Source organism: Homo sapiens, chromosome X (assembly GCF_000001405.40).
Source record: "Homo sapiens chromosome X, GRCh38.p14 Primary Assembly".
Classification (NCBI taxonomy): Eukaryota; Metazoa; Chordata; class Mammalia; order Primates; family Hominidae; genus Homo; species Homo sapiens.
In genome coordinates this window covers 39,303,828-39,329,763 of record NC_000023.11, presented here as the reverse complement: position 1 = coordinate 39,329,763, position 25,936 = coordinate 39,303,828, and the positions used below count along the sequence as shown (strand labels likewise).

At 43.5% G+C, this 25,936-nt stretch overlaps 1 long non-coding RNA gene across 1 annotated transcript; it reads left to right on the top strand.

Moving 5' to 3' along the window:
* The first annotated feature begins 2,401 nt into the window (after positions 1 to 2,401).
* LINC01281 (long intergenic non-protein coding RNA 1281) lies at positions 2,402 to 24,808 on the top strand. The gene is made up of 4 exons (NR_038968.1): positions 2,402 to 2,541; positions 7,834 to 7,995; positions 21,864 to 22,122; positions 23,597 to 24,808. It is a non-coding gene; the product is annotated as a long intergenic non-protein coding RNA 1281 (long non-coding RNA).
* Positions 24,809 to 25,936: the final 1,128 nt, after the last annotated feature.

Below are 25,936 nucleotides of genomic sequence, written 5' to 3'. Positions count from 1 at the left end.
TAATCTTTTGCCCCATTCCCTACATCCAGTCCAGAAGTAAGTCCTTTTGGACTTACCTCCAAAATCTCAAATCCATCTACTTCTTTCCATTTCCACTGCTACAGTCTTATTCCAAACCTCCATCCTCCCTCACCTGTTTTCCTAAATGGCCTCTCCACTGCTACTCTTGCCACCACTATAGCCGATTCTTCACAGCAGCCAAAATGGAACATCCCGCAGGCTGTTGCTTCAGCGGTGCACCATTATAATAGTACTGGAATTTGAGCACACTGCCTTGCTCTGCAATGCCCTATGTGATCTACGCCTGTGTACTTCCTTGTGCTCACCAAGACTGAGGCACACCTTGCTCCTATCTGTTCTTCAGACACTGGTCCACCCTCCCCAGTGCCTTTCTGTTCTCTTCCCCTATCTTCACACCTCTCCCTTCTACTCAGTCTTTAAAGATCATGTCGCCTTTGCTTTCTCAGATAGCCTTTCTCTGACCACCTTTTTAAAAGCAGACCCTTACCCCCACCCAAGTTATACATTAGCAAAAAACAGTGATTATTTCCTTCATAGCCTGTATCACTTTCTGCAATTACCTTGTCTATTCATTTTGTTTACATATTTCTCTGTCTCTCTTTATGCAAATGTAAACTCTATGAGAGCAGGGACCTTGCCTGTCTTGTTTAATGCTATTTCCCCAATGCTTGGCACAGAGCTGAAGATAATAGAAGAGACATATTGACTGTTTGTTGACTACTAAGCGAGTGACTCTCTCTTTAACAAGGGCTCAAAACTGTCCTTCAGGTGCTATTGGTAGCTGTTTCAGGTAGAAATAGGTTTTATTGCATATAACAGTGGCTTAGTCAAATTGTGATTTGCTTCTATTTTTCACAGACCGCGAAATTCAGGGGTAGTCAGTCAGTCTAGGACTGTACCATGGTTCTACAATGCCACCAAGACAGGGGGATTCTTCATGCTTTCATTTGGCTGTCCTGAATGGGTGGCTTTCAACTTTATGCTTGTTGTTTCACGGTCACAAGATGGCTCTCTGCCCTCTTTATAATGTTTTGTACAAGGTAGGAAAAAGAAGGTCAAAGATCAAAAAATATCAATTGGCTGAGTCTCCCTTTTTAAGGAGCTGTCATGGGCTGGGCTGCCCAGAATTCAGACTCTTAGATGGACATTAGCATGTGGGAGATTTATCACGGAGACCTTTTCGGATCAACAAGAGAGATCTGGGTCGTGCACAAAAGATTCTACCATGCAAGCTTTCTTGAAAGCCCATATACTAACTTCTACTTATATTTCAGTGGCCAGAGCTGTAGCATGTAGCTACCTTTAGCTGAAGGTAGCTGCAAAATATAGACTTCTAGTTGGGCCACCATGAACAAAATGAAGGTTCCATTAATAAGAAAGAAGGGGAAAATATTTAGGGTATTTAAGCAGGTGACCAGTGGCCTCTGCCATGGTGCCCCTTCTCTACTCTCTTATCTCTCTTCTCTCTCTTCTCCTACTGTTTTAGCATTAAAAATGAACAAACAAGCAAACAAACCAAACACATAAACAAAGCAAACAAACATGAATAAATCTCCTTCTTCCTTCATTAGCTAATAAACAAAAACTTATTAAAAGTCTCACAAAAACTGTGTAAAAACTTATGTGTATAGACCTTGCAAGGAAGATGGTTGCCACTATGCTAAAGATATTTTGATCTTCACTGGGGCCGACTGAGCCAAGATGAAGAGATGTAGATTCATCCCCAGGAAATACAATATAATGTGGAAACAAACTAATATATGACAACCTGATATAAGACAATACCCTAAGTGGGAGGGGAGGAATGTTCTAAAGGCAAAGGAAACTGAAAAGAGGAGCACCCTGGTCTATGTCAAAGAGACAGGGAAGGCTCCAGAAATGCAGAGATACTGAAGACATCATCATAAGGAAAGAGGAGCATATATTTTGCAGGGGCCAGAGGGGCAGGGAGCTGGATGACAGGCAATATACAACCCAAGCTGGAGGAACTGAGCACTGGGAAGCCAGAATCTAAGCATGGTGGAGACAGAGTGTGGGACAAGCTCAGGCACCTGCAGCAAAAATAGTGCTGGCCAAGGAGCCATAGTCCTTTCCCTGGCTTTTCACTCCTCCCGCCTAGGTCCAGAGATGCTCCTCTGGGCAGATCTCCAAGCTAGGGAAAGTGTGGCCTCTTGACAATATTGCTGGAGAAGGAGGGAGGAATGAGGTTTGTAGCCCGTGGCAGGTGGGTAATGCCTATGAGTGAATTAAATTCACACAAGCAGCCCTTTCACAATCGTCTAGACAGGAAATAGAGAAGGGAGCTCAGTGGAAAACATCAGTTGTGCCCACGCACCCAACTGTTCCAGTAACATAAAAGCAACAGCAGTTGGAGATACTTAAGGCAGCCATGGTATTGACAGAAAAAGACTCTGGATTTGGATTGCAGCTGTAGCATTTATTAAATGCACGTCACAACCTCTCTGAGCTTCGTTTTCCCCACGTTTCAAATGGGATGCAGTGGACCCTGTTGCCTACCCGGTAACTTTTTACCTTCTTTATCCTTTTTTACAAAACCTCAATGTCATTCAGGAATCCTCCTTGTTCAGTGAGGCCACATGCTTCAAAGGAAGCAGGCTGTAGTCTTGGCCTCACGAGCCAGAGAACTGGAGTCTATGCCCTAATTCTCAAATTTACAAGAAATGATTCGCCTAAGTTAAGTATGATGGTCCCACTCCCTTTGGTAGTGATTGGTTACTCATGGGTGTGTAATTTAATTCTGGCCAGTGCTCTGGGAGGGGAAGGCTTTGGAAGCCTTCTGGGAAAGATTTGGATGATAAAGAGAGATGTATTGAGATAAAAACTCTACTTTTTCTATTACACCTTATAATATCTGCAAATGAATTCCAGAACTCCAGCAGCCGTCTTGCGACCATGAGGCGATTTTGCCAAGGACAAAATAATATACCAAGAATGCAGAGGGAAAGATAGAAAGAGCATAAGACCTAGATGACTGAGGTGAATCACTGAATTAACCAATCCTAGAGCATCCACATTTTAGACCTCCTTATTACATGAGGGAGTAAATCCTTTGTTTGAATCAGTTGCACTGAGATTTTTTGTTATTTGCAGTTAAAGGTTATCCAACTGATACAAAAGTTATCTGCTGCAGTAAGGACTAAACACAGTGGCATGTGAAAGTGTCAGTCCAAAGCCAGTACACTAGGTCCATAATATATATTTATTCATTTATTTGAATTCTATTTCATTATAATATCTCTCAAAATCCCAACTACTTATGTAATTTTTTTATTTGAAAATTTTTCTATCTTTGGCTGTCTGGGAGTCACTAGCAATCTGGGCCATTGTCTGGCCTATTAACTATTTGACCTGCTTCCCAACCACTTCTAACTATTGGCCCAGGAGTGGTCCCCAGAGTATGTCTCCTAGCAAGAACCCACAGCATGGGGCTCAGGGCATAAAGACAGGGCCTTTGATTTTTAGCCTAAGGATAATTTCTCCTAGAAAGAATCAGGACATCTTAAAAAGCAGTGTACATTTTTAGAAAATATGATTTAGAAAAATCAGAATTAACTTTGTTTTGAAATTAGTCTCACAACCAAGTTAGGTAACTCCAAATGGAGCTCTGAATTTACAATTTCAGGATTCTTGTATTGCATGTCCAATTTGGGAATTAGTGCATAGACTCCAGATGAAACAATTTGACAGCACAAAACCAATGTACAGTATAAATATTCTTATTTCCTAACTACTTGTCAGCTATTTCCAGTGAGTAAATATTTACACGTTTTCCTCTCCCCCTGTGGAAAGCAGTACTCACATATATGAACATAAATATTTTGGTGTATGTAAATATTTACTCACATGAGCAATATATTTCTTTTTCTAGTCTCTGTTGTAAGTTTTTTAATAACAGAACAATTCCTGCTTACAAATAAGTTCTGATCTTGCAACTCTCCTAAAATATTCTGCAAATGAGAGGCATTTTATGGTAGTGGTTAATTGCTGATTAGTTAGAGCAGCTGGGGATAAATTTGAACTCAGCACCCTACTAGCTGTGTGACCTTGGGTAAGTTCCTTAGTCTTTCTGTGCCCTGAGTTTCCTCATCTGTAAGATGAGAGTAATAATAGTATCTAACTTATAGGATTTTTCAGAATATTAAATAATTTAGTGCATATAAGGTGCTTCACAACACTTGGCATATTGTAAACCTTTAATAATTAAATATTAAAATGAATATTTTATCATTGTCAGTTACAGAAAATGTCATTTTTTTCTATTTAGTATTATATTATGAATATAAATATATTTATAAATAATATCTTAATTTTATGTCTCTTTTTTATCATTCAAAGAATTTTCAAATGCTAACAATAGATTCCATGTGAGTAAATTACCCTAGACTGGCTTTTGATTATTTCTCACAATCCACTGGGTTAGTGGCCATCATTTTTTAAGCACTTACTGTTTGCCAGGCATTGTGTTATGTGCTTTCAAAGGCAACATTTAATTTAATCATCACAGCAACATATGAGGGTTTTCAAACTAAAAAATAGGGCCTCAGTGAGGATAATTAACTCATTTTACATTAAACAACTGGAAAGTGATAGAGTTGAGACTCAAACCCGGGTCTTCTTGATGTGAAAGTCCTTGCTCCAAACCATTATGCGATCTTGTTTCCATCATTTACATAGAGATGTCCCTTGCAGGAAGGGTTCGGTGTTTTAAAATTTTCTTTTGTCAGGAAAGTAGAGTAAATTTTAATTTATGTTCTGGCCTCTGGGAAAATATACATCATTGACAAATCAACATTGCCTCACTCAGAGCCTTATCAACACCATGTTATAAAATGTGGTTGACTGTATGGTGTTGAGACTCACCCCACAGTACCCCATCTTTTGAGTTTTAGCTTGGATTCTTTTCACAGACTCTAGACAAGATACAGAATCTCCCTGCCCCCGATGCTGATCTTGTATTCATGCTGCCCAGCTCCTCCAGATGGTATGTTGAATCGAAATGTTGGATTTCAGCCATGTGGTCCCTGTTCTCAGGAAGCTCCCAGAGACATCCTCTGATTAGGTATCCTTGGCACATGAGGAAATAATGTCTCCCAATTATTGGAATCTTCTCTTGCTCTTGACCACCAGGCCTGTCAGCAATCATTGGACCAAAGCCAATGGTATTTTCCAGTGTCCCATGCCCTTGCAGCACTTTTTCCATACAGCTATAACCCAGATGTCAGGAAACTTACTCTCACTGCCTCCACAGCCACCTGCATCCATAAAGCTGCTGACCACACAGCAGACTATGGTGTCCAGTTACTGACAGGATTCATGTGGCCAGAGCCTACTTGGCCACCTGAATTGCCTTGGAAAGATGACCTACACCTCCCTTTCACCTTCCAAATCTCTCAGAATTATATCAAATGGGCAGAACTCTAGTTCTAAAGTAATGTTCAAAATATGGTTTATTTTGTTTTACATTTTTAATTGACACATAATAATTGTACAAATTTATGCGGTATTGTGTGATGTTTTGATAAATGTATGCATCTTGTAATGAGCAAATCAGAACAATTAGCATATCCATTACCTCAAACATTTATCATTTCTTTGTGGTGGAAACATATAAAACTGCTCTTCTACCTATTTTGAGATATACAATACCTTATTGTTGACTATAGTCACCCTACTGTATAATAGGACACTAGCACTTGTTCTTTCTTTCTAGATGCATCTTTTTACCCATTGATCAGCCTCTTCTTATCCCCTCTTCCCCCATACTCTTCAATCTCCGGTAACCACTGTTCTATTCACTGTTTCTACGAGATCAAAAAATTTTAAGATTGTTCGTATAAGTGAGATCATGTATTGTTTTTCTGTGCCTGGTTTATTTCACTTAACATATGGCTTCCAGGTTCATCCATTCACATTGTCGAAAATGACAATTTTATTCTTTTTTTATGACTGAATAGTATTCCATTGTGAATATATACCACATTTCCTTTATCCATTCATCTGTTGTTGGACACTTGGGCTGATTCCATATATGGCTATTGTGAATAGCACTGCAATGAACATGGAAATGCAGACATCTCTTTGATATACTGATTTCATTTCCTTTGGATATATACCCAGCAGTGGGATTGCTGGATCATATGGCAATTATAGTTTTAATTTTTTGAGGAACCTCCATACTGTTTTCCATAATACTGTACTAATTTACATTTCCACCAACAGTGTGTAAGGATTCGCTTTTCTCCCAATATGTAGTTTTTAGCTTTCCAATATACCCAAATAGAAAGTGGTTCAACTGGAGTTTGAGAAAAGTGAATCCAGTTATCCAGCACAATTCTCTCACACGGACCTGTTCTGAATTTCCTTTATGAATTTTTGGGTTGAAGGCACACCTTCTTATTCCCTTGGTCTCTCTTTCTCTTAGACACCACTTATATTCAAGTTCATGAACAAATTAAGAAACAGTGATTTATTATTTAAGAATCACTTTTGAGCACCTACTTGTCTGAGAAGACACTGTATTAGGCACAAACAACACAGAAAGGAATAAGATTTGGTTCCAGTTTTCAAAAAGTGCACAGCCCTTAAAGGTAGAGGGACAAGAAAGTAAATTATATGATACTGAGTGAGAAACGGTAGAAGAGATATGTGTGTAGGATTCTGTGGAAGTGCATCTAAAAAGTCAGATTCTTAACCATGCTAAGAGGGAAGTGTTAGAGAAAGTAGAGAGAGAAATAAGGAAAATGCATCTAAGAAGAGGCAGAGGCTGGCATGAAACTTGATAGACATTGAACCAGGTATCCAGCAGGTATCCAGTGCTGCCTAAAACCACTCCAGTACTTATCTTCAAACAACGTTTTATTTTGCTCGTGATTCTGCAATCTGGGCTGGGATCAGCTAGGTGACTCTTCTGCTAGCTTTGCTGGTAATCACTTTTATGATTGAATTCAGCAGGCAGTTTGGCTGATGGCTGAATTCAGCTGAGATTTTCTTTCTCTCCAAGTAGTCTTGGGCCTCTGTCCACATAGTTTTTTTCACGTGTTTTCTCTTACAGAGTCAGCTGGATTTCTTAGACAGTGAATCAGGCTCCCAAGAACAGAAAAACAAAAGCTGCCAAGTCTTCTTAAATATTAGGCCTGTAGCTATTCAAGTGTCACTTAAAGGTAATCGTAGGAGACCGGCCCAGATTCAAGGGGAGATTACAGAAGGGCATTAATGCCAGAAGTAAGTGCATTAATATGGTTCCTTGGAGCTATCATATGATTGATCAGCTAGATGAAGTTGAAAGAGGCTCCAGTCAGGAGAAGAAATAAGAGCAAAGACCTGGAAGTTTATAGTGTTTTGAGGAAAATTAAGCATTTCTGGGTGGTAAGTTGGTGGGTATATAGGCACCAATGAGTAAGATAAAGCTACAGTGCTGGCTTCTTCAACCATGATCTCTGCTTGGCTCTCATCACTTGCCTCATCTGACTTCCCTGGACTTGACTTGCTTCCTGGCAATGACTCCTGGTCTGCTGAACTCCCACCTGATCTAGCTCTTTTTTGATCAGATAAATATCAAAGCTATGTTGGCAATTGTTATCTGACCACTGAAGCCATTTTCTCTTCTTTCTGGGCACTCGGGTAGACCATAATTCTCAGCTTCTCTTGTGGTTAGTTTTGGCCATGTTAACTGAGTTCAGGCCGAAAGAACATGGGTGCAAGTGGTGACGTGCAATACTTCCAGACTTGGATTGTTGAAAACCTTCCATTCCATCTTCCGTTTTTTTTCCCTCTCCAATTGGCTGCAAATAGAGAACAACTTCAAAGCAACTTTGAGAGCCTTGTATGGAAGATGGCAACTTTGAGAGCCTTGTGTTGAAGATGGCAAAGCCACAAGATGGAAAGTGCTTGGGTTCTTGGATCATTGTATGGAGGGGTTCTGCCCAACTAGGATCACCCAGGCTGGATTGTCATGTGAGTGATAGTAAAACAATTTTTGTTGTCATAAGCCCTTGAGTTTGTGGATGTTCATAAGTTATAGCTGTCAGCATTGCCTCAACTAATATAACGGGGAACCGAGGAGGCAGAGAAGTTCTTAGCATCACCCTGAGAAACAGGAGAATTTGTGGGGAAGGAGATTGCATGAAGGGGAGGATAATAACTCAAGCTGAAGCAGGGCCAGCCAAATCTGGGAAGAATTCTTTGAATGAGGTAATGACAGTCTTCCTTTCCATGTGGCCAAATGTATATAGAGAAATATCTGGAACCCACTGCAGATTGACTCATTGACACATTCTTATCTGAAACTGAATTTTACCCTCAGTTTCTTAAAGTATCTTTGACAACTCGTATCCTTGGAAACTCTTCATATTTAACCTACTGACAGGTGAACAATATAGCTTTTTGGGTAAGTTAATTAAAGGAAGAGGATTTTATGTTAATGAAATAATTCATATTTGATTCTCTGATTTAATTTGGTTCCCATAACAGTCCCTCAAAGTTAGATGGACAAAATCTAATATATATGTATTTCTGGATGGAATAGTCAAGGCTGAGGGGGAGCTTACTTGGCTAAGACCTCTCAGCTACATGGAAGAGGCCTGGGACCCATGTTTTCTAGCTCTAGAACATTTGTAAGCAAAATATGCAGACCCTGGTGATAGCCCACCCATACTGTCTAGACCTACCTGACTTCATTGCAGTTGAGGTGGACAATTCTAGAGCACACTACAGCTCTCCCTCTGCAAGGACCTGTACCTCTCAGCTTCTCTGCCTGATGATTTGTTCCAGCACCCTGGGAGTCTTCTTAGCTCAGCACAGGCACGACTTTGGAAATGTAAGGGAGTTAATGTCCCAGAGGTCAATCCTCAAGCAATGGGGTGCAGGAAGTTGTTGGATAAATACCCAGCCTCCCATTCCCTGAGGTGTACTCCACCTGGTTTCTCAGAGGGTTCTCAGCAGGACCGATCTCCAGCAAGCATCCACAGCTCATTAGCACACACTAAACTGGCTTTCCTCCCTTCCCTGCTCCCTCATCCATGCTTTGTGGGATCATCTCCCAAATAAACTGCCTGAACCCATTCCTTATCTTAGAGTCTGCTTTCAGGGTAACCCACACTTAAGCAGTATACGTGGACTAGAGAAATTAGAAGCACGCAGGGGAAAACAGGATTTTTTTTTTTCTCTTGCTCCCTCTGAACTGAACTCAGGCATGAGTGAGGATAACCTCTCATGGCAGTGAGTGAGGATAAAGGCCACATGAACACCTCATCAGACACTTCCTGTCAGACTCTCCTCCTTTTCATAGGCAGTTGGTGGCACCTGCCAGTCTGGACTCCTCTATGCATGGTGACTTTGCTCTGCTGCCCAGCTGGCACCAGGCACTAGATGAACAGCCTTGGTCCCAGACAGCAGCAGATGCTGCCAGCTCACCATCTCCTGGCAGCGGATTCAGGGTTGGGACTGGGCAGCAGAGTTTGATCACTTGCCCTGGCTGCCACAGTTTCCATCCTCTTCCCTGTATCTTCTAGTCATGAGAGGCCTGTTTGATAGAGATGTCAGCTCAGCAGTGACTGATGTGTTGAGACAAGCTTAGTGTGGCATGGTGCCATAGGGAGCAGCAGAGGGGCCTCAACCAGATGCCAAAGGGCCCACAGGCCCAGGTCTGACATGCTGAACTGTGGCAGGCTGGGTGTGCAAAGATGTCATCTGTGGGTTATCACCAGAACAGCTGTGTTCATTTGTTCAAGCATTCATTCATTCACTTGTATAATATTTACTGATGCTCCTTATGTGCCTGGTACTGTGATATGAACTAGGTATATGAGAGAATGAGAGAGATGTAATCTCTCCCTTCCTTGAACTTATAACATAGAATGGAGGAAGATATTGATAGAATATCAGACATATAATTATATGGAATCCTGAGATTTTCTTTTCCCCATTTCTCATACCCACCCTCCATCTGGAGCCAAAGCCCATATCAAGACAGAGTGCTTTAAAGATGGTGAAAAGAAAGAGTCCTTTAGTATGATAAAAGCTCCAGAGTTATGCCAGGAAGCAAGCAGCTATGCAGCCACTGGTAAGAAAATGTAATACACAGAAGTTCTGCCAGCCACTCTAATTATGACAGGTATTTCTTCTCTGCAGGCCAAGGTGAGACAGGTCAGTAGGTGGTAACTCCTGGAAAATGGGGTGGGATCATTATTTGCAGGGAGGTATAAATGGCTAATATAAGAGCAAGTGTGACTTCTTCTCTAAGTGCATGCCATCACATACTAGCATCTCAGGGCTAATGAGCATAAGGAAATAAAGTTCTAAACATGGGATTTCAACATTTGTAGGGAAAGAGTTGGGATGTGGGGACAGCTTATCTTTCTAGGGTCTTCCTTGTGTTTCTCACATAGGCTGGCCTGGGTCTGGGAGTGCTGAGGTTGGGGCTTGGGCTTCCTGCTTGTCTAGAAAAGGGCCAAATCTCAGCTCCAGTCATTGTTGGTCTCCAGGGCTGCTCAAGATCTGGTTCTTGCAGATGCTATTTGGAGCAGCTCCCAAGCCATTAAACCCTTCCTCCTGGGGAGCTCCACAGCTGTCAGAGACGAGGAGGAGACAGGGTGGAACAGCCAGTTCAGATTCACTTCAAACCAGAAGTGGAACAATCCCTGTTACATTATTAATCCCTGGAGCCATGTAAAGTTTCATCTGTTTTCTCTCAACGATTTGTTACAAACTACATTTTCCAAAAGCTGCAAGACCTACGACCAAACAGCATCTTTCACATGTGTGTGAAAATCCTGGGGTAACTCCTACAGGGCTAAGAGCAGAGGGCATGGGTTCTAATCTTGCCTTTGACACAAGCCAGCTGTGTGACGATGACAGGGCCACCTTTCCCCTCTGAACTTCAGTGTCTGTATTGGTTAGCTATTGCATGTAAAAATACCCACAGTCTTAGTAGCATACAACAATAACAATTAGTATCACAGATCTGCGGGTCGGCTGGGGTTTGGCCAATCTAGTCTGGGCTCAGCTTAGCAGCAATGCTTCAGACTGTAGTGGTTCTGCTTCATATCACAGGACTGGGGCTTGGATGGGCTAACTCTGCTCCACATGCTAGTGGGCTAGACAGCTGTTATGGTTTGAATGGTTTTGTCTCCTCCAAAATTCATATGTTTGAAATTTAATCTCCAATGCAACAGTGTTGGGAGGTGGGGCCTCTTGGAAGGTGTTTAGATTATGAAGGCTCTGCTCTCATGAATGAATTAATGCTGATAATGCTTGTAGGAGTGGGTTCACTCTCTTCTGCTCTTCTGCCATGTGAGGGCACAGAGTTCATCTGTCTTGCCCTCCCACCTTCTGCCACATGAAGAAGCAGCAAGAAGGCCCTCACCCAGGTGTCAGTGCCTTGATCTTGGACTTCCAGCCTCCAGAACTATGAAATAAATAAATTTCTGAGGTATTCTGTTATAGCAGTACAAATGGACTAAGACAACAGGCATGTTCTCTGCAACAGCAGAGGTATCAGGAGGAAGTGGAAATATGTGAGACCTGTTAAGGCCTAGGCTTAGAACTAGCATAAGTCCCACTCCACTGGCCAAAGCAAGTCAGTTGGCCCCAAATCAAGAGGTAGAAAGTATGCTCCACCCATGATATGCCATGACCATGATGCGACTGCAGGTTGGGGTGAAGAAGCATCAGGACCATTTATTCGACCTACCATAGTCTCCTCACTTATAACATGAGAAGATCAGCAGATCACATGGTTCCTTGGGCCCCTCATAACCTAAATATTCTGTAGGTCTAAATAATGATGTAGAAGCAGAACAGTGTAAAAGGATATAAACCAGTGAAAAAAACCAAGAAATAAATCTGGTATGTCTTAATAAAATTTCTCTGAATGTATGAGCAAATTACAACCAGGTACAAAGAGATGGCTTTTGAAACCTGCCCACCTCACTCAAATCGGGCAACTAATTTTCACAAGCTCAGCATATGTGAGCATCTATATAAAAATGCAGAAGGGCCCTGCTCCAAGTTTCCCCACCTGTCCTCGCCTCCCTAATACCAATAAGGTGATTTAACCTGAAGAAGAGGTCAAGAGCTGAGCACCTCCCAATGTGTACATGTTTTCTGCTTTAGAGGCAAAAGAAGCAGCTTCCTACTAGAGAATATGCAATAAAAAAATTATATCAGCAGGACTCTCTTTGCTGGAAGTGTGAACTTGATAGAAATCAGAAATGCAAATGGTATTCAAGTGCGGTTAAAACTTCCACTTTCCAAAAGGGGGAAAAATTAATTGCTTTTATACTTACTGTAGTGATAAGCCGGAGGCACATGCTATACACAAGGAACAGCATCCAGAAACCTTCCAAGAGGTGGAGGGAAGGGAGGCAATAAATCTCCCCTAGAAAGCCTCACGTTCCTCACTGCAGATGTGCATGGCATGTAATTTTTTAGCTGTGTGGTTCAGGGACCTGCTAAGAGTTTCAGATTCAACCGACTTCTGTGAAGGCTTGAGAAGGAGATGTTTGGGAAATGCTCATAAATGATAAAAGAAGAGCTTAAGCAGTGAGTAGGTGTCCAGAACCTCTCAGTTGCTGAGGAAAAGGTGTTAGTTTATGGATTTTTATTGCAAGGACATCTGCAGCTTCTCAGCTTTATGGAGCACATATGTTTGCAAGAAAGTCCCACAAGCCTCAAATCATGTCCACCTTTTTCAGAGGGTGGGCCCTGGAGGGAATGCCCATGGTGTATGGATTGATAGGACTTCCATGAATGGGGTAACTATTTTGTCCAGTTTTCCTGGGACAGTGCCAGTTTATTTCTGTTACTTCAGTACCTTATCTAGTTAGCAACCTCATTCACTCTCAAAAGTCTCAGTGGCACAATAACTTTGAAAAACTGTTAGCCTGAAAGACCAGGCTGTGCATTAGACCCATTCATCCATTCAGTTAGCATTCCACTATGAGGACCTGGGCAAACACCTGTTATTTCCCTAGAGTTTATGAATTCCTAAAGACAAGGGCTGTGTTTCATCCATTTTTTTTTAACTTTAAGTTCTAGGGTACATGTGCACAATGTGCAGGTTTGATACATAGGTATACATGTGCCATGTTGGTGTGCTGCACCCCTCAACTCCTCATTTACATTAGGTATTTCTCCTAATGCTATCCCTCCCCCAGCCCCCCACCCCCCGATAGGCCCCGGTGTGTGGTGTTCCCTGCCCTGTGTCCAAGTGTACTCACTGTTCAATTCCCACCTATGAGTGACAACATGCAGTGTTTGGTTTTCTGTCCTTGTGATAGTTTGCCAAGAATGATGGTTTTCAGCTTCATCCATGTCCCTGCAAAGGACATGAACTCATCCTTTTTATGGCTGCATAGTATTCCACAGTGTATATGGTTTCACCCATTTTTGAGGCTACGGCCCTTCTCCTCTTCTCTCTTCCAGTTGTTTCTCCCTGCTCCCCCAGGTTCTGTTCTGCCATTCACAGCCTTGACTCTCACATTATTTTCTAGAAGACTCTTGTCTCCCCAGTCCTCACCATAACCCCCTCCAACAGCCATTAGTTCTGTGGCTACATCCCTGGATCAGCCCAAAGGTTGATGAACATTGCATCATTCACAATCTCCAAGTCAGACTACGTCAATAGAGGGCCATGCCATTAACTCCCCCAGGGACTTCTAGAACTCATAACTCCCTCAGTCTCCATATCATTTTTGTCATACAAAACAAACAAAACCGAGATGTATTCTCTAAATTTAAGATCATATTTCAGAGACAGCAATAATCTTGGATATGTGGAGACTAGCTAGATGTCCCTCAAAAACATTTTGCTTTGTTCCTGGGTACACAACTGGACTATGTTTCCCAGTGGTCCTTGGGGTAAATTGTGGCCATGTGACTGACTTCTGGCCCATTACATGTAGACAGAAGTGATGTATATTACTTCCTGGTCCGATCCATAAATACAGATGCTCCTTGACTTATGATGGGGTTATGCTGTGAAAAACTCACTGTAATTGGAAAATATTATAAGTTGAAAATGCATTTAATGCACCCAACCTACACAACCTCATAGCCTACCTTAAACATGCTCAGAACACGTTTGCCTATGATTGGGCAAAATTACCTAATAGAAAGCATGTTTTATAATAAAATGTTAAATATCTCATGTAATTTACTGAACACTGTACTGAAAGTGACAAAGAGAATTGTTGTATGGATACTTGAATTATAATTTCTACTGAGTGCGTATCACTTTCACACCATTGTAAAGTCATAAAATTGTAAGCCTAATCATAGTAAGTTGAACCACTGTAAGTCAAAAACTATCTGTATTTCCCACATGGTCCTTTGATGTGTTTCTTCCATTTCCCATATCTGGGGGTTGGATATTGATGCCCACAATGGTGTTGGAAGACAGGATGAGATTCTCAGCCCTGGCTGCCCAAGAGAGACACCAGGATACTTAAAACAAAATTCTGTGCACACATCCCACCCTGAACTAATGGAATTAGAATTTCTACTGTCAGAGAGGCAGAGCTCTCCATAGGTTTGAACACCTCAGTGACTGTGTGAAGAAAAGTCCCTGCTTCTTCCACCAAGTGTACTTTACCTGAAAAAAAACAAACAAACAAAAAAACACTTCCATTGTGTTAGGCTCGTTCTGGCTTTACTTTAACTAATACAATGAGCAACTGCATTTCTACAAATGGATTCACCAGTCATATTCTTACCAATTCCTGGATGAAAGGAGGCTGTTGGTAGGAGGTGAGTAAAGAGATTCACATCAAGGAAAGGGGCACAGGCCTCCCACTGATCATCTAGGAAATACTTGAGAACCTAGGGTTGTGAAAGGAGAATTGTGGTATGGTGAGGAGTGGACAGATGGAGAAAGGAAGCTGAGGCCTGCAGGCCCTATTTTTATATGGTCTGAGAAAGCAGGTATGAGTGTGTGTGATAAGGGAGTGTGTTTTGTGAGTTGATGATATTAGGCTGAACTTGAAGTCCTCCTAACTTTGGAAATAAATTACTTGGATTACAACACTTTTCAATTGGATGACAAATCTCCTTGTACTTATGTGGCCATGCTCCTCTACGTGGAGGCATGCCTCCCTGGCTAAGAGAAATTGGCTTGCTACAAAGGTTTTGCATTCTTGCTGGTTCAACATGGGTCTTTGGCTTAAGGCTAACCATCCTGGAAGCCCATGAACTGGATGCTCTTGCTTAACTAAATGACTTTTCCTGGCTCTTACCAAGAGCTTCATTCTCTTTCTCCTTTTCCTTTTCTTCTCCTCCTCCTTCTCCTCCTCTTTTCTTCCTTTTCCTCTCCCTTCCCCTCCCTCTGTCCTTCCTTTGCCCCCTGCACTTTCCCCAACCTCTCCCCTCCCTTCTCTTTCTTCCTCTCTTCCTCTTTCTCTCCCTCTACCTTTGACCTTCCTTTCCCTTTCCCCTCCTTAGCCTCCCTTTCCCTCTCTTCCTTCTTCTCCTTCTGTCCTTCCCCTTCACCTCCTCTCCAGGTTTTTTAACAAAAAGGTAGCTTTCCACTCCAGTCACATCCCTTGAAATCCTGACCAGCCAGGCTATGGAGGTGATTGTTAATTGGCTCATTATTCACTTATTCTTTCAATCAACACTGTTGGTTGGGCGGGGCTTTGTTGGGTAAGGATGGGTCTTGCCAGGGTTACCACTGTGCTACAAGTGGACATACAGAGACAAAAGAGATTATCTTTGTTGTAGAAATAGTCAGTCTTATGAACAGCAAAAGTGGGCAGTTACATGGTCAGGAACCAAGGAAGCAGTTAAGCAAATCATTAAGAGTTAAAGGCTGCCTCATATCTAGCAGAAGAGACCTCAAATCCCCAAGGAGCAGACGATTCTGTTTATGAAGAGCCCATCACTGATGCTGGACGTTTTTGTTTTGTGGGTACAAGGCAAGTAGAACCCTCGCTATGGAGAAGGCTTGTCAAAGACTGTCCCTCCATGAAGCTCAGGGAGGAGGAACTTGATATTTTCTAGGGAAGGTTAGGGCAAATGTACATAGGAGCAAGAGATCTTGTAAGAAAAATGGGATAGTAATCTTGACACCTTCTTTCTGGGGGTTTTAGACCATCCCTGAGGGACTGAGGAGCATGATGTTGCCAAGCAAGAAGCCTGGTGTTCATGCATGAAGAGGAAAAGAGAGGGTGCATTGCTGAGCTGGTGTGTCCTTGGAAAGTTGCCTAGGAGGGCATCTAGAAAACAGATGTTTAGAAACAAAAGAAAACCCAGGAGCCCAGTTCTACTGTGGTCTGGGACTACCACAGACAAGTGTAAATCTTGGAGTTGCATGCCTAGTTCCACAGCATGGAACAAAGTTGGACTTAGACTGTGTACCACCAGCATTTCCCTGTTTCCTGGGTGATGGCGTTATGGACTTTAAACTTTTTTATTATGAATTAAAACACACATATGCAGAAGCTCACTTAATGACCACACAAGCCCCATCTGTGTCAAGCACCACCTGGGTCAAGACATAAAGCAAAACAAGCACCCTAGAAGCCTCCTTCATGCCCTCTTCTTATTATGCCCATTTCTTCCACTGTACACATCTTAATTTCTAACACCACACCTTCCTCTTGCCTGCTTTTGAAATAGACACGTAAATGAACTTATGTGATCTGGACTCTTGCATCTGGCTTCTTTTGCTCAATATTACATTTGTGAGATCCATCCATGTTGCTGTTCATTTTCCTTGCTTTGTAGTACTTCATTGTATGAATATATGCTGATCCATCTATCCATGCCCTTTTTGATGTATATTGGGCGGCTTCCAGTCTGGCTGTTCCAAACCAAGCTTCTGTTAAGATTCTGGAACATGTTGCCTAGGAACACAAGGACCATTTGGTGAATGATGATAATGAGACCATGGCTGGAAAAGATTTTCTCAATTTTTTTGACTCCTTGAGCAAGTGTGCTCTGGCAGCACTTGGACTCATTATGGGATGCAGAGAGAGAAGGAAGGGTAGCAGCAGGTGCTAGAGAAGAGACATTGCAAGATGGGGAGTTCTAATCAAAGTAAGTTGAACATTAAAAAAAGACATACCTCAGACTGAGGAAACTGAATAAACTGAGTTTCTCAAATAATCTATTTTTTCCCCCCATGATGCTGGAGTGTGAATAAGAAAAGGCCCCAGTAACAGTACCAAGAATAGTCACTGGCTCTGGTTACCTCAGTGAAATTTCTGGAACTCTGGCTTGAAGTTCTCTCCTTGGCCGCAACAGGATGGTCCTATGTGAGCCTGCCCTAGCCCCCCTCCTCAGTTCCTGTTCAGATGTGACTGTCCTTCATCCACTCATCTCGTGCATAGCTTGCTCCTCTCGGCTCAGTTCTCCATCTCTCCAGAGTCAGAGCCTTGTATCCATCAGGGGCCCCACATTCTTCCTTCTTAGGTCAGTTACTCACTGTTACAGGGTGGCACACTCACTGTGCTGTGCTCCTAGCTACCCCTCTGCTCTCATCCAGCATCCATTCGTTCGTTGAACAAATGCTTATTGGCCAGGTGCGGTGGCTCATGCCTGTAATCCCAGCACTTTGGGTGAGACAGGAGGATGGCATGGGGCCAGGAGTCCGAGACCAGCCTGAGCAACATATTGAGACCTCCATCTTTACCAAAAAGAAAAAAAAAAGTGCCTATTGACAGATACTTGGTGCCAGGATGGGCACCTTTCTTTCATGTCAGAGCCACTGCCTAAGAGCTTAATGAAACAACTGCCTAAGAACCTCCAACCCTGGGCTGCCATGATCTCTCTCATGGTACAACGGGTTCTTAGGTAAACATTTCTTCTACCAGGCTTCCTACCCATGCCCTCACCCCATTCTGGGCCTTGCTCTGCAACCAGCACAGTACAATGTAGTTCAGAGGAACTCGACCCACCCTATCTATGCTGAAGTGCTCACAGGCCTTCCTGTGGGGGTTGTAGGTAGCCCAGGAGTAGCAGAGCCTCCTGTATTTGCCCTTTACCATCCAGTAGAAGAGAGAATCTCTTCTTGTAGCTCCAGAAAAAGAAAGGAGCATTCTCACCTTTCCTTCATCCCCATGCAGGGTGGGGGATGGAGAGAAGTGGGGAGGGGACAGCAAGCTTGTTTGATAAGTCCCTCTCCTGGGGATACTAACTCATCTTCTCTTTTCCTTCTTTTGGGACAAGCAGATAGCCCGTGGATTGTGCTTTTTCATTTATGATAGACTATTCAGCAGAAGAAAGAACAACAAAGGCAACAGCCTTTCAGTTCTCTTTGGACTGCACATGAAATCAAACCTGGAACAGCCGTCCCCTGTGTTCTTCTCTCTGCTGCCCTGCCTGTTGCCTTTCTCTGCTCTAATTAATTCTGTTGATTCTCACATCCCCACTCCTGGGCTCCTCTATATAGCTGTGTAGGTCGTGCACTGTATAAACTCTCCCATCCCCAATCCCCTCTGTGTTTTGCCTGCCATGCCTCCCCAGTCCCTTTAACCCCATAGAGCCCTTCTTACTTCATTTCCTGCAAGTTCCTCTTCCCTAACTGCCTCAAGAGAGAAGAAGCCTGACCTCTGTAGGGCCTGACCCACATTTATCACCCTTGGCAGGGTAGGGCAGGGCCAAAGCCAGGTGTCTACTGCTCAAGAGAGTCAAGGGGCCTCCTTTCCCAGGGAGCTGCCCCAAACAGCTCACAAAGCCCGGAATCTTTTTCTCATCACAGTTTTGCCTTGCCAGAAGTAAATTGTTCTCTAGGTTCACCAAAAGGCCAAAGAAGCTGTTTCATAAATAAGCTTAGCATCTACTTTTGCGTATTCCCTTTAACCTGGCGGGCTGCTCCTCCCCGAGCACCAAATTTGTGGAACTACATACATACATCCTTACAGCACCCTGCACAGTTCACAGCCTCAAGCATGTTAAAAAAAAAAAAAAAGGTGACCTTGTTTTCTCTCCATAACAATCCCATGATAGAGATATTGACCAGTTTTATGGAAAATAAAACTGAGGCTTGGATCACATCCCTGTGGCAGAGTCAGATTTGAACTGAAGTCTGCTAGTCCCAAAGAGATCCAAGGTCTGCCTGTGTTCTTAGTCACCCTAGATCTTTGCTCCCTTGAGCTGTCCCACGCCCGTCTCCCACCTTCCCTGTTCCTCTCAGTGCCTGTGCTCATGACCCATGGCCTTTCACCCTCCCATCAGACCTATGTGTCCAATTCCAATGCCTGCCTTCCCTCCTTGGTCCCATCTCACATTTGTCCTCCTGGGGTGCTTTCAGCCACTCTCCACATAATACTGCTGTCTGAGCCAGCCCAGTCTGGGGATCTAGCACTTAGGAATATGCCCACAGGACTGGCATTCTAGCTGGGTGTGTCCCATCCAAATACACAAGATTTTTCTTTTCCCTCCAGCCCCTGACAGTGCCGGTCATCCAGTTCTACAGTATAAACTGGCCATAGGCCCACAACGACACCTCTAGCTTGAGCACTGCCTTAACAAAACAACAATAACAACAACATCAACATCATCATCATCATCATACACAACAACACAAGTCTGAATGGCTATCTGCCTCCTCTCCATCCCAAGCGTCATCTCTCCTCCCTCTCTTCCCCCAGCCCTCAGGGACCAAGATGGGGAAATTGTCCTGTAATCGCATTTTACATGCACGTGCACAGGATCGAGGCATTTCTCTCATCTGGTTATCTTTGGAAACACTGGAAGGGAAGGGGATATTAAAGTAATCCTCCTCTGCTTCCATCTTGAAAAAAAAAGCGGCACATTTTGATTCACTACCTTATCTTTAAAGAAACCCGACATGGAAAAGGCAAGGAGATAAGATCTATGACTTCATCAGCTTGTTCTCTGAAGTTGTTTCAAGCTTCACCATCCCCCGACAGGCCCCTTCATTTCCTGTTTTCAATATCTAATGGCAAAGAATACACAGCCGCTCAGAGCTAAGTGACCCTGGGGGTCAACACAGGAAGCTGGCCAGGGAGGAAGCTTTTAAGATCCAAACTGGAATCTGGCCACAAGTCAGGAGCACATCTTCTTAATTCGAATTTTATTTTTACCTTCACTTTGTGGTCAGCAGCTCTCAGAACAGCTGCTGGTTTGAAATACCTTAAATGTAATTTGAAAACTCATAAGGTTTAAAATTAAAAGAAAAAAATACTTTAGGATCTTATAACAGGAATTCTTGACAACCTCTTTCTTTCAAGATGCTCCAAATGCCTCCCAGACGTGATTGCGTCAGTTCTTGCTGCCTCCCACGGTGGAGGCCAAGGAACCAGTACCATCTGAATCATTTTATGGAGGGGAAAACACAGACACCCACTTGTTCCTGCTTACCCAGCAAGTCAGCACAACATTATGACAGGTGTTTTCCAGTGCCCAACCAGTCTAGAGTAGGGAGTGTGTGTGCATAATATGGGTCACAATCACAATGTCAAGAGCAAGGAAAACTAACTATCTTGGTTCTGGCCACCTGCCATAGAGGTGCACTTCCTGGCAATGGCCATTTCTGTTCCATCTCTTCTGTCACCAGCAGCGTCCTTGGGTGGGCTCTTGTTGGTTGACATGACAATACTGCCAGCTACTCTCTTGACAGTCAGGGAATAGCATTCCTTGCAGGGGGCGTCACACAGAAACATCCCTACCTGCCAGGATCGTCCACTATCTGAGGGGCTGAGCACATGGTGCTTCTATGGCAAACTGAACTGCATGGAGCACTAAGCTTTGTCTCTCTTAGATGGGTTTCCTTTTCCTGCTTCCTGTCTCTAATACTTCCCAAAGGCCAGAGGCCTGACCACACAGGTGTAGACCTTGGATCAGGGAGCAGATCTGTCACTTGCAACCGAGGGGTGGCCCACTATGATGTGGGTCTGGAGCATAAGCTCAGGGCCTTCTCCCTGCAAGGCTGATCTGGGGCAGTGTTGCATATTCTGGAGGTTGTAGTAGATGGTGTCAGAATCCAACCCATATCTTCTTGCCGCTAATATTTTAAAGAATACCACCCAACTCCCAGCCAGCAATTCCTTTATTCCCTTGCTTCAGGGCTTTCTTAGGACAAGAAGCATACTTTACCTGTTGCTGCTGACAGCCAGAAGTACCAAGGATTAACATCCCTCCTAATTCTGCAGAGCAACCCTCAGCCATTGACAGACAGGACTGGGTATATAAATACCCCAGCTTCATCACCCTCAGGTGGGCTAACTCTGAGGCACACATTCTGTGCTGACTTTCAGTGGTTTCTAGCAGGATTAAGTTCCAGTTGCCCACAGTGGCAACTGACTTGGTGATGCCTTCTTTTATTTCTCCACTCGCTTTACTAGTGTTTTTTTGGATTAGTTCCAAAATAAACTATTTTCACTTGGGTTCTTATCTCATTCTGCTTCTGGAGAACCTAACTGAGTCATGGGAAGAACTCTTCTGCCACCCCAGCCACTGATGGGGCTGTCACTTCCAAGCCTGAAGCAAAGATTTCTGGAAACTTTCCCATGTCTGGAGGCTAAGTCTGGGAGCTTCTCTGACCTCTTCCTAGGCCTTTTTAAATCTTCTTTTCCATGATTCCATGATTCTCAAAGTCTTGCTCCCAACATTATCCTTAGCTACAAGATATCATCCAGGTCTAGTACACTGTTCTCATTTTTACATTTTATAGAACACAAAACTGAGGCTCAGAGGGGTAAAAAACTTGCCCAAATTTACTTACTTTGCAAATGTCAGGCAAAGAAGAGACCAAAACCCAAGCATCTAGATTTATGGTCCACAGTATTTGTCAAGTAAAGCTATTTATGTGTAAACTTGGCTCATGAGTTTTTGTTCTGAATCCTTCTTCTTTTTCATTACAGCAAAGAATTGGGTCCTGAAAGTAGCATACTCAATGGGGACTGTGAGCATGCATCACTTAATCAGTACATTGGCACTCCACTCCCTCCTGGGCCAGATTGTATGTAGGTCAACACCTCCAGTGGCTGAACCTCCAGAAGGGCTATCACAAAGGTCTGAGAATCTGTCTCCCTTAAGGCAGCGAGAAGTGGTCACAGACACGGCTTGGCTGCTAGCATGGCAGAAGGTCTAGTGGGGGCAGCTGGGACTCCACCAGCCCAGGTACAAGGTCTTTGTATTTACTCTTTTTTTTGGCCTAGAATGCTGTTCCCAGATGGCCACATGGATTAGCCCCTCACTTGCTTCCAGAATTTGCTCAAATGCCATCCTCAGAGAGACCTTTCCTGACCACTGTCTAAAATACAGCCTCTTGTCCCACAACGTTTTAAACCCACTTCATTTTCTCTCTTAGCATTTGTCACCCACTACATGATATTGTGTGTTATCTTTGTTTATTTCTGCCCCCGCACCTTGACCCCAGCCATGAGCATGTGCGTTCCACAAGGACAGATACTTGTTTTTATTGTTTTTTCTTCTGCTTTATTCTCATCACCTTGAACAATGTTAGTGCATCCTAGAAGCTCAAGAAATACCTGTTGAATGAATTAATTAAACACTAAAAGCAAACTATGGCTCAGATAGGACAGGTTAGTTACCTGGGCCCAGGTAGTACATTCAGCTAAGTGGAGCAGAGGCATTATGGGGCCCCAAGCCAGCTTGACTCCATGGCCTCTGGCCCATTTCTCTACCTTGTGCTGGGCTCGTTAAGTTTCCAAAGAACATGGGATTCATAAAGCAGAAAACAAGAAGAAGAGAGATGGATTCTCAGTGGAGATAGGACATATTCCCCTCCCTCTCTCCTTCTCAACCTGCCTCCTCCCTCCTCTGTCTTATCCCAAGGAGCTCCTTAGGAAGAAACCCATCCCCAGTATCTCCCAGAAACTGCTCTCTGAACACTCAGATGCACAATCAACCATTGTTAAGTCCTCAACAATACCTCATCAGCAAGCACAGCACTATAATTAAAAGTAAATCCAGCTCAAGCTCTTTAAAATAGGATCTAATTTAATTGGTGCATTTAATCTATCACTGTCACTCCAAGCCAACCGGGGGAGAATCTCATCGTAGTGGTAGGTGATGGGAAGACTTAAGTGGCCCCACTTCAGGGTCTCCCTGTTGCCCCAGGTCTTGTGAACTACTGGGAACGTAAGGCAGCAGCAAGTCTGGGAACCATACGGGTGCCAACTGAAACTTGGATGTGGCTGCCATGGGGCTCTGCCCTGACATCCAGCCACACTCCCATGAAAGGCTTTCAACAGGGGGTCTGGGCAGGGGTCTCTCCCTCCTATCCACATATCCTCAAAAATGAATCTCAGGGCACCATGCAGAGAAACTTCAAGAGAACTAAGCTCATCTTCACAAGGCTGGCATTGGGGTGTAACCTTTCTACAGAGTCACTGTGTGTCTCTACTTTGAGTCACTATTAGTTTAAGACCCAGCTCAGAAAAAAAAATTCTGTCTCTTCAGAGTAAGATAACACAAAACACCGATCAGTTGGGAAGTCATAAAGTTTGATGCTTCAGGATATTGGCCCCAAAATAATATAGAAATGAGTTATGATCCTGGGTAAGCTACTTACTAAATTATGACTTTTGGGATAATTTTAACCCCCCAACCTTCATTTCCTTGTTTGCAGAGTGAAGATAAGAATACCTATTTTAAAGTTCTGTTGTGAGGTTCAAGTGCCACATATGGGGCCACCAGAAGCTGTTGGCGCCCCTCCCACATCCCTGTGGTCCACTCAGGAGGTTAACTGCAGTCAGCTGTCATTCTGCTGGTGGCTTCCTGCGTCTTTCTGCCTGAGCTTGTTCTTTGGCCCTGGAGGAACCCTCCACCAATGAGAGATGGGAATTGTTGGATAAAAGTCCCAGCTTCCACTCCAAGGCATGTTCATGATCCATGCAGCCTCTGAGAGGCCTCCCATGGGCCTGAGCCCCAGTTGCCCACACTGGTAATACACACATCTGCTCACTCTCCACTGGCTTTCCTCTCTCCCTTTCTCACTGCTTCACCTTCCCAATGTGCCTCCTGGACCACGTCCCAAATAAATGATTGCACTCAAATCCTCGTCTTGGGGTCTGCTAAGGGGAAATCCAAGTCCAGACATTGGTATGACTCAAGTGCTTAATAAATAGACCATGTCACTATTGTAGTTTCTAGATACCCAAAATTCAAATGTGGGTCTCTCTGCTTATATTTTGTATTTTCTATGTAAAAAATTCCCTAAAGCCCTCCAGGAAGGACTCCTCTCCCTGTGGCTCCATGCCAGTCCTATGCTCTGCAGCCATAGGGAGGATTGCTGTGCCAATGCTCACAAACCTTGGGGCTGCCATCCCCAAGACTCCTTGGACTCCATACAAAGATTGACCTTAGGAGGAGTGAGTCACAACAACTCCATGTGAGTATTGGGAGGCTTTATAGGTTGAATTATGACTTTCCAAAGAGATTTGTCTTAAACCACAATTCCTTAAAATGTGATCTTATTAGGCAACAGGGTCTTTGCAAATGAAAGTTAAGATGAAGTCATTAGTGTGGTCCCCAATTCAACATGACTGGTGTCCTTATTAAAAGTGGAGATTTGGACACAGAAAGACACAAACAAGGAGAACACCATGTGAAGATTGGGATCATGTGACCAAAAGCCAAGGAACTACCAGAAGGTAAGAGAGAAGACCAGGAACAAATCCTTTCCTAGTGCCTTCAGAGGGAGTGTGACCTAGTTGACACCTTGATTTTGGACTTCTAGCCTCTGAAATTGTGAGACAATAAATGCCTGTTGTTTAAGCCACCCAGCTTGTGGCACTTTGTTACATCAGCCCTACCAGACTAATAAAGGGGAATTGTCTTTATGTACTGCCTATGTGTGGCTGCAGGAACCATGTGTATGTATAACAATGGGGTTTTCATGAAGCTGGCTTTTTTTTCTGTGTAATTCTACAGATTCCTAGATAATATCAGGCCTTGACACTGGCTGCCCAAGCTAAGCTTTTCTCCGATGTCTTCCAGCACTCTATTTTCTCAGCCCTTTGTCTCCAGAGTTGTGTTGTCTCCCTTCCCCTCCTGTTGGCCTGTAGTTACCAAAGTTCCAACATGGCTTCATGGAGACATATGGGGGCCCCCTTTCCACACGGCCCTTTTTTCTCAAAGATTCATTCAGGCTTTGTCCTTACTTGTCATCAATGCTCCATTTTACACTGAAGTTAAAGGCAGATGGGAAACAAAGTCTTGCCCCTCTCAGAAGTAGGTACTCATTAGAAAAGCTCAGCATCCAAGAAATGATCCTCTAGCAGTAGGAATTTCAGCCTGGTGTCTCCAGATCACTCACCACTGCCACTAGAGAGTGCCTCAGGCTATTCAAACTCCATGGTCTCAAAAGTAACTTCACCTGCTTCCACCTCTGGCCTGGCCAACTTCAGGGACCTCCTGGACTGGATATTCTGTTTGCCACTCTAGACCCAGCCTTTGTGCTTCTCCACTGTATTAGTCCATTCTCACATTGCTATAAAGAAATACCAGAGACTGGGTAATTTATAAAGAAAATAGGTTTAATTGGCTCACAGTTCTGCAGGCTGTGCAAGAAGCATAGCACTTCTGTTTCTGGGAAGGCCTCAGGAAGCTTCCAATAATGGAAGAAGGCAAAGGGGGGAGTGAGGCATCTCACATGGCAGGAACAGGAGTATGAGAGAGTGAGGGGGGAGGTGCCATAGATTTTTAAACAACCAGATCTCATGAGAAGTCATTATCATGAGAACAGCAACAAGGCGATGGTGCTAAACCATTCTTAAGAAACCCACTTCCATAATCCAATTGCCTCTCACCAGGCCCTACCTCCAACATTGGGAATTACAATTTGACATGAGATTTGGGCAGGGACTCAGATCGAAACTATATCATTCCACCCCACCCCCTCCCAAATCTCATGTCCTTCTTCTATTGCAAAATACAACCATGCCTTCCCAATAATTCCCAAAGTCTT